The 8946-nt window shown below is 47.2% G+C and overlaps 1 pseudogene; it reads right to left on the bottom strand.

The window, feature by feature from the left end:
• TSPY18P (testis specific protein Y-linked 18, pseudogene) lies at positions 5303-5821 on the bottom strand (annotated as a pseudogene).

Here is an 8946-nt window from a genome sequence, read left to right as displayed (position 1 = left end):
TTGATGTTTGAAACTCTAGTATTTACCAGCTGGTGATCCTGGGAACATCATTTAAATTCTTAAGTTTCAATGTCCTTACAGTAAAAATACCTCCAAAGCCTCCTCTGTTTTGCATTTTTTTTTTCCCTTTCACAGATTTTACATTTTCTGGTATTTTGGCAACAGATTCATGGTTACATAATATTGTATTAGTTACAAAATTTCCTCTACCTTTACGCAGATTAACTAGACTTCAGTTGCACTAATTAAGAGAGCATTAGCTGAGTCAAACGATAATAGATAAGTTATAATTGATGTCAAAATTCTACCTCATTATATTACCTTCCAAATCATATCCCAAGTTTTCTTCTATTTTGAGAAACATCACTCTACATACACATAGAACAAAGATTGATTTTGCAGATTAGCATGATTTTAATAGAGCAAATTCGACCTTCAAATCTGATAAGCACTTTCCAATCCATAAAACACTGTCAGAAAAAAACTGTCTATCAGGTTAGACACATTTCACAGAGCCTATGAAGTTGCAAATCACTTATGCCTCCCTCTTGTGTTACCAAGATAACGTATAGCACTACATAGTGTTTCTTAGCTTGAAAGAGCTTAGGAACTTAATTAATCCCTAGACTACCTAGTGAGAGAGTGGTAAGAAGCCCCTTGAAGAGATCATTTAACTACATAATTCACTCTTGCTTAAATGTAATTCAGCATATGTGTCATGTTGTGTTCTACTAGCTTTCTATTTCAATCTTCAGAGAAATAATATTTATGTGTGAATGTATGATGCATAGGCAACTATTATGAACAAAATTATGTAGACTGCACTCTGTCTGCCACTAAAAGCTAACAGATATATGTACATCCAACACATTAAAAAAATCTGGTACATTCTGCTGGATTTTCTTTTCTTTTCCATTTTATATCTCATTTTCAGGTATTTCACAGTGGCCTTCTTAGATTTGAAAAGGCTAAAAATTTTAAATAAGGAATATACAATTCTCTTGTTAATTTTTATAATTACTTTAATTTTTTGGAAAGTGTATTAAAAGTAAATGTTTATAGATGAATATAAAAGAATATCGTATGTGAACACTTCACCCAAATGAAAGAATATTTATTTATTCTATTTAGAATTCTCTCTAGTAGGATTTCCTTCTCTGCAGGTAGCTGGCTACAGGGATCTACCAAAACAAATCTATTTCTGCAGTAAATACCAACACTTGGTTACTCAGGAAATAACTCTTTCAGTCTGCAAAACACTACATATCTTTTCCCTGAGCAGGATAAATTCTTATACAGTTTTACTGTTCTACTAAAATTTCAATTAAAGTTAACCATTTTCATTTTTATTGCAAATAAAATCTGGTTACTTTCTAATTACTTGCCCGAAATCTATTCTCTATAACTTTCTAAAATTACATAGACATACACACACCCATACAAAAGAAACAGTACAACTGGAAGAATAACCAATGTGTGCATGTGTTCTGTTTTAAAAAAATTTCTACTGTACTATTTGCATTAAGGTTATAGTTGTAATTCAATCAATGACCCATTTTAAATGAGTGGCTAGGACATCACTGGAGAAAGTGGGTGCAATGCAAGAAACATTTCCCTATGCATTCACTTTATTTGTAAATACATTTATACTGTATAGTTGAAGTGGTTAACTTTGTCGTCAAAGACTGATACTGGCAAAAGTTTTGTTTCTTAATATGCTCTTCTTTAATTTTTTCCAGAATGTTTCAAAATGTCATTCATATATTTATTCTAATTTCTTCTGGGAATAGATAGCTAAAGAAAAATGGAGAAAACCATTTTTTCCTATAAGTTTATCATCTCTTGAGTGTCAAACTTGTCATGAAAGGAGAGATGCATCTGCTGCTCTTACTTTAAGACCAGACTTTCCACCAATAGATTATAAATGTGAAAATATCTGCCTACTTAAAGCCACTGTTCTGAAGAAAACACTATTACAGTCTGAGATTGAACCCTAAGGATTGGCCTTGGGAACTTTGAGATTTTGGTCAACTAATTTCTAAGCTAATTTCTAAGGATGATCTCAGTTGCAAGAGTTATTGACTCTTTAGTCAAACACTCTATCACAGAAAATCTAACCTTGTGGGCCATTTGGTTATGAGACGGTAAAAAATAATAAAAATATTACTGGGATGCAGATAGCCAGTACTATAGCTCTTCAAGGAAAAATACTCTCAGTAACAATATGAAAGTTTGTCTGAATTTCTATTTCCACACTATGATTATTATGCCACATTTTGTAGCATTTCTGTAAATTATTTCTGGTTTTGAAAATCTTTACTTTTGAATGAGGATTTGTCTTTAAAAATTAATATTGTTCCATAGGACCATTTGCTTGTATAAATTATGCAACATTTTATGGGAGCTCATACATGGACATCTCATAGAAAGCAAGTGATGAGACAGATGTTTGAGATGCATTAGGGTGGATGAAGCGGAAGCACTGTTTCTACTCTCTGGGTCTCTCACTTCCAATAAGACAAACTACAAAATAATTTCATATAAGAGTTTAAAAAAGAATGACTCAATCTGTTGTGTCTGATTGTTGTTTTGTATCCCATAAACACTTTATGCTATATCTAAGACTTAAGGTGTTTTAAACATTAGATATTGTCTTTAGGACACCAAGTGGAGGCAGGGCAACACAAGCAGGTGCTGCCTGGGGGATCTTATCTAATGAAAGAAGTCAGCAACAGGCAGCTGAAAGGGTAGTGGTCCAGTGCCAGGTGTTTAGCTGAGACTTGTATAAGTTTCTCAGAAACTCTCACAAGTATCTGAGGGAAATGAAACTGGTTTACCAATGCTCTTTTAAAAAAATCAGCTAAAGAACATCCTATAGTGTCCTGAGGAGAAAAGTGAGCAAGGCACATAATTTGAGATAGGAAAAATAGTAGGTGATTGCAGGAGCATAGAAAATCTCAGACAGGTGTTTCACATGACTAGCAAATATACACTGTTAAAATAGCCACATAAAGTAGGAGATGATAAGACTGTGGAAAACCAGGGTGTGGGCAAATCTGGCTAGGAACAGCTGGTTGAAATTCAACATGGTGTGGAATTTCATCTAGGTTTCGCCTTAGAGAAAATAGCCAAAAATTCACTGCTACTACCATGCAGCTCTGCTACTACCATGTAGCAGAGCAACTAATCAAAGGCAGCAACTGCCTAACTATGGCTGGTTCACATGTGAAAAACAGAAATCCCTTTTTGTTTAATTCATGCTTACTTTTTTCTGCTATATGAAGTAAAACACATTCCTTAATGACAACATGTTTCATTTTCTATCTTACTCTTCACCATTTATTTTCTTCTCACATTACTTATAATTTGTAACTTATTTTGTCAAATATATGAAATGAGGTAACACGGCAGTATTATAGAAAGCACACTGCATTGAAAACAGACTTATATTGAAACGGGAAAACATCGCTTTTACCCTTCCCAATGGAGCTTGCAATGAGGACAGGTTGTGGGGCTCTGCTCCCAGGCAGTGTCTAGGGATGAATGTTCACAGATCTGGAATTGCCAGAGGTCATGTGTTACATGGTGTTATTTTAGTTTATCCATCCGTAGGTGGCTTGAGTTAGTCAGCTCCATCAGACACCCTGCCTTACTGCAAACACAGAGGGCTATCTGAATCCCGGGGTTTCTTGCCTTGGTGTACCTGAAGAATTGGCTCCCACGTGGGCTTGAAGAATAAGTGCCAGGTTTCATTGAGTGGATGCTCTCAGCAGATAGATGGGGACCCACAAGGGAGATGGAGCAGGAAGGTCGGTTTCCCTTGGAATGGGGCAGCTCTGGACTCTCTTCCCACAGCCCCATGGGACTCCATGTTCTTCTGAGGTGGATGGCCTGCCACCTCTGTCCTTGTGCTTTCCTTCCTCTGGTGTCTTCTCAAGGTCCAGTTGCTGCGTCTTTTTCTGCTGATGGTTCCTCTCGACATCTGCGGCTATGTCACTGCCTGCTAGGGTCTCCAGGTTTCTTATATCACAGGATGGAGGTGTAGCAGGCCAGGGTGGTCTTGGGAAATGTTCCTCTCAACATCTGCGGGTATGTCACTGCCTGCTAGGGTATCGGAGTTTCTTATATCACAGGATGGAGGTGTGGCAGGCCAGGGTGTTCTTGGGAAATGCAACATTTGGACAAGAAAACAGAAGTGTTTGTCCTCACCTATGTGAGTGAACACAGGTCTGAGGGTGGAGCCCTAACCAAGGACCATGCCCTCCCCTACCCAGCACTTCTCTACCCCCTTCCATATCAATAGTTTTTATTTAAGTCTCCAAAAATGATACCCAAATTCTTTAGAGAAGACAATTGGAGGAAATAGCATTAGAATATTCTAGGATTAGGGTCACTAAATAGAAAATGAAAACAGAGAGCATGTCCTGCAGGCCATGGAATCACTGCAGAAACATATCCCCTGCTGAGAAGGAGAGGGACACACACTGGCTTCTCTAGTCTTCTTGTTCTCTAGTCTCTTCACTGTCACCCCTCAACTGAATTGAAACAGGAAGTAATTTTTATGGGAGCCTAGGAACCATGACTCACAGAGGCCAGGCCTCTCTATTACAGAGCAGTGCCAGGAGATGTGATTGATGTATCTGTGGGCATATAAACCCATAATCAAGGCTGACATCTGGGGGTGGTTCGCAATCTTGATTTAGGTCAAAGAGGCTTTAGATGCCATGGAAGGAAAAGCTAGAAACAACAGGGAAGAAGGCCTAAGAGCACCCAAAGGCAGGGGTATGGAATTTATCAGATCTGCTTCCATGTATGACCTCCCTTTCCCCTCTCCCTCCCCCTGAATTAAGGACTCTTGGGTTCACGGAGAGTATGTAATTCTGAGGCTGACTGCACTGATATTGGGAGGGGAAATTTGCAGAGAGTTCCTGGTGTCTAAGGAGTGGCAGAATCTGCTTATACCCAAAGACTCCCAGTCTCAGATCAGACTAGTAAGGGGGAGCAATCACACACCCTTAACAATATCTTGATTCACAGAAAAACCTGTTCTGGTGAGAACTCGCTTCTGCTCTTCAAAAAGATGCCCCAAACGTCTGATGCTCAGCATCAGGAAGGGTTTCTCCGCTGCATGCAGGAAGATAGTACCCGCCTCTGCTCCGGCTTTTTACAGCCACATGTGTCCGTGGCAACCCACGTTTCCTCCCCAAATGGTCACATCGACGCCGAGCTGCCCATCAGTTACTTACACTTCCCCAAGAGCACCTCTCAACTAGATAGGCAGAAGAAACACTGAAAATGATGCAACACTGGCCCAGAAGCCAGGGATGCTCTGGATGATGGCGCCTCTGCGGTCCAGCTGGGGCTTGCGCCTCTGCTCCATCTTTCTCCTCTCCTGAGAAAAGGTATTCCTGGCTCGGGCATTAACCAGCTCCAGCCCCACCTGAACGACCAGCAGCTCCACCAGTGCAGACTCTGGGGTCATGGGCCCAGGGCCAGGCTGTGCCCGTTGGTCCTCCTCCTGCAGCTCCACGTCGGCCTCCTCCTGGGCCACCACCTTCGTCTCCGCCATTATGTTGTCTAACAGCAGCACAACTCCTCCTCCAAGGCTGCCTCCCCGCTCTGCGCACCGGGAGCCCCCTCCTGTACAGCCTCCATCCTGAAGACAGTGCCCTTCTCCGGACTCCCACAGACCACCGCCTGTGCTGCCTGACCCACACCACAGGAACCCTGCCGCTGCCCTTACTGGAGCCTGTGGGTCGGAGGGCCCTCAGGGCGCATGCACTGGGCTCCAGGCTCCCCCAACAGACTTCAGGCAAACGGCGCCAGGAGCCGCGCCAACACCACCCGCCTCCCCCCGCGGTCAATCAGTCGGAGGGCGGTGGGCGTCTCCCTGGGCGGCACCAACCCAGGTTGGCCTGCAGTCCCAGCCTCCTGGGGTAACCCTCCTCTGAAAAGCCCTTGGAGCTTGTGCCAGGTAGCGCTGCGTCCAGGCACACGTGGGCTGCGTGGCCTTTGGAATTGCGGGCATGGGAGACCTGTGCCCTAACTGACATCCTGAATGTGGCAAATCATTGACCCACAAGGAGCACATGAAACATCTCATTTCATTAGGCAAGCCAGGTAGATGATACGGAATATTGCAGATCCAGAGGAGAACTCTCTCTGGCTGCTGGGGCGAGGGCAGTGGGGGTGGCCTGGGGAAAGTGGGTCGGGGCCGACGCTAGGGAGGAAAGTAGCCGGGTTATGCTTGGGTGGAAGTCGTCGCCTCTAGAGGCCAGAACCCCGGCAAGCGCTCTCGCAGGTCGAGGCAAATACAGGCTCCGCGTACCATGCTTCCTCCGTGAGGATGCTGTACTCCGGGGAGCATTCCAAAGTGCCTCTCGTCCTATGCCCTAGGCACACCGGAGACCAGCCGCCAGGTTGGCCGTCGATATCCTGCGTGCACACAATTGTACGCTGCCTTGCAGACCTAGAGGCTCCCGCACGTGCAGCAGCGGCTGCGGTGCCTGCTGGTGGGGCTCTGCAAGCCCAAGGCCTTGGGCTGTGGCTCCTGAGCTCCTGTGCGCAGTTGACCCTGCTGGGGACCTGAGCCCCAGGTCAAGTGCGGCGATCTGCGGGCCCAGCCGGGCTTTTCAGGAAACCTGCGTCTACGTACCTGTGGGACTAGGTTCTCAGCAGGGCGAGGTCTGTGGGCCTTCCGGGGAGCGGGCCTCCTGGGGAGCGGCCCCAGAGCCTAGTGGTGCCGGGGATGGGCTGGGCTGCACAGACCGGGGTCTGCGGGAGTACCCAGGAGGGCACAGTGTTCAGGCGGGAGGCTCTGCTGGAGAGGACGGCCCGGGTACAGAGCAAGGAGGCGGCCTTGAAAGAGGAGGCGGTGCTGATGGTGGAAGACATAATGGCTGAGAAGGAGGTGGTGGTTAAGGAGGAGACCAATGTGTAGTGGCAGAAGGAGGACCAGCGGGCACAGCCTGGCCCTGGACCCAGCAGAACCGGGCCGTGAATGGACTCTCTGGAGGTCCTTCACTTGCAGCTGGGCTGTGAATGGGCCAGGCCACAGGGCGTCTCCGGCTTCTGGGACAGAGCCATATCCTTGCAGCTGTCCATTCGGTATTGCTGGCAGCAGGGGATGGGCATCAGGCTTCGGGGTGGGGGGCATGGGGGCTGGGTTGGGGGAGGAGCCAGGAGGGAGGCGTATGGGGTGAGCCAGGAGGCAGGGGATGGGGCACAGGTTGGGAGCGGAGGCCAGGTTCCTGCAGATAGGAGGCTAGCTTGCTTGTGGGAGCCCCGGGAGCACGTGGTAGGGAAGGGAAGCCAAGCACAGTACTCACAAGGAGGAATCTCGGCGCCAAGGGTCCTTCACTCACAGCACAAAGTTAAGGGGCACGTTTCCCTGGGAAATGCCCTGGAGGAAGGGGAGTCTGCAAGCTCGGGCCAGCTAATGAACCACCCCCGCTTTTAGTGCCTGTTTCCACCAGGCTCACCCCAGAAACACAAGGTGCTAAAGACTCGAGTTTGTGGTGCATGGGGCTGCTGACCTCCTCAAGGCAGGTACCAGCTCCCCAGATAACGCTTTCTTTCCCCTGCGGGCGCTGCACCAAAAGAGGTGTAGGCCCCGAGCATATATAAACTCCTTTGCACCCACACAATTCCCATGGGGAGCACCAGGCAAAATCCTGCAAGCTCCTTCTACCTACAAGGCTTCCCTCAAGTGGACAGGCACACCCTCAGGGAGTCCAGGATAAGAGGACACCACACACCCAGATATCAGCAGAGCATGTCCAGAACCCAGCACACAAGGGCCTCCTGCAGCTCATGAACCCTGAGGAAGCAGACACCTCATACCACCCTGCCTTCCCCCATCCCTCCCTCAGCCAAAACCACCTGCCCACTCATTCTGCTTCCTGTCCCTGGTCAGTGCAGGCCAGCTTGGCCTGGCTCCACCCAACCAAAAACCACCACAGTCGTGGTGTTGCCTTCTTGCCAAAGACAGGGGATCAACAAGAGAGGGTGACAGGCCAAATGTCTGGAAGATAGCCCTGCTCCACATTCTCTGTGATCTTGCAAAATTGCAGGGTGTCACCACGCTTGCCCAACCAATCATCTGGAGGCTCCTTGACCAGAGGTAGATTGCTTGGCAAGCCCAGATGTCGGCCTAGGTCAGAAACCATGATGAAGTCCTGCTTTGCTACATGATGGATTTGCAGGTCAGGGTGGGGAGCCTGGGTCTGTGGGAGTGGTCCAGTTTCTGAGTCAGTTTGAGGTTCCCCTGGGGCCTGGGGCTGTCTCAGTGGCAGAGCTGGAAAGGGGAAACTCATCCTTTACTCCAGATGGCAGCCCACTTCAGCCCAGCTAGATGAAATGGTCCCGTTGAGTCCATCCTCTTTCTTCTTCTTGATCAGACAGGTGGAGGAACTCAGTCATCCTGGTTACCGGCGGCTGGATGAAATTTCCTTTCATCACAACCTTTACTTCCACAATGAAGTTATCATTAAGGAATACTTCTTTGGCATCCTGGGTAAGAAGTGCCTCTCAGCATGGTAAGGGAGCTGGTGTGTGAGAGGGTAAGCCTGTCATGAACCTCCCTGACTCCTCTCCCTGCAGGGTACAGGGTGTCTCATTCCACTGCAGTCCAGTGGGATCATGAAGGTCAAGCCTCCAGCTGTAGGCAGAACATTGCCTACCTGAGCTTGTTCAGCTGTTTGGCTGAATATGACTGCCTGGGTTTTGGCAGGATTGCTGAGGTGGGGTCCGTGGTGGGGCATCATGGGAAAGGACCTTGCTGCTCATTCCTTGGCCTCTTGGGAATGGGCTTTGAACTGTGACCTGACCTGTTGTGGACCCCTTCTGCAGTTCCCCAGATCATTAGCCAGGGCCTATGGCTCAATCCATTGGAGTTCTACCCCAGGGAGTGAGGGACAGCATTAGAGAGGGAACAAAGAGGAGGCC

The sequence above is a fragment of the Homo sapiens genome, chromosome Y (genome assembly GCF_000001405.40).
Source record: "Homo sapiens chromosome Y, GRCh38.p14 Primary Assembly".
Taxonomy (NCBI): Eukaryota; Metazoa; Chordata; class Mammalia; order Primates; family Hominidae; genus Homo; species Homo sapiens.
This window is presented reverse-complemented; position numbering and strand designations above follow the sequence as displayed.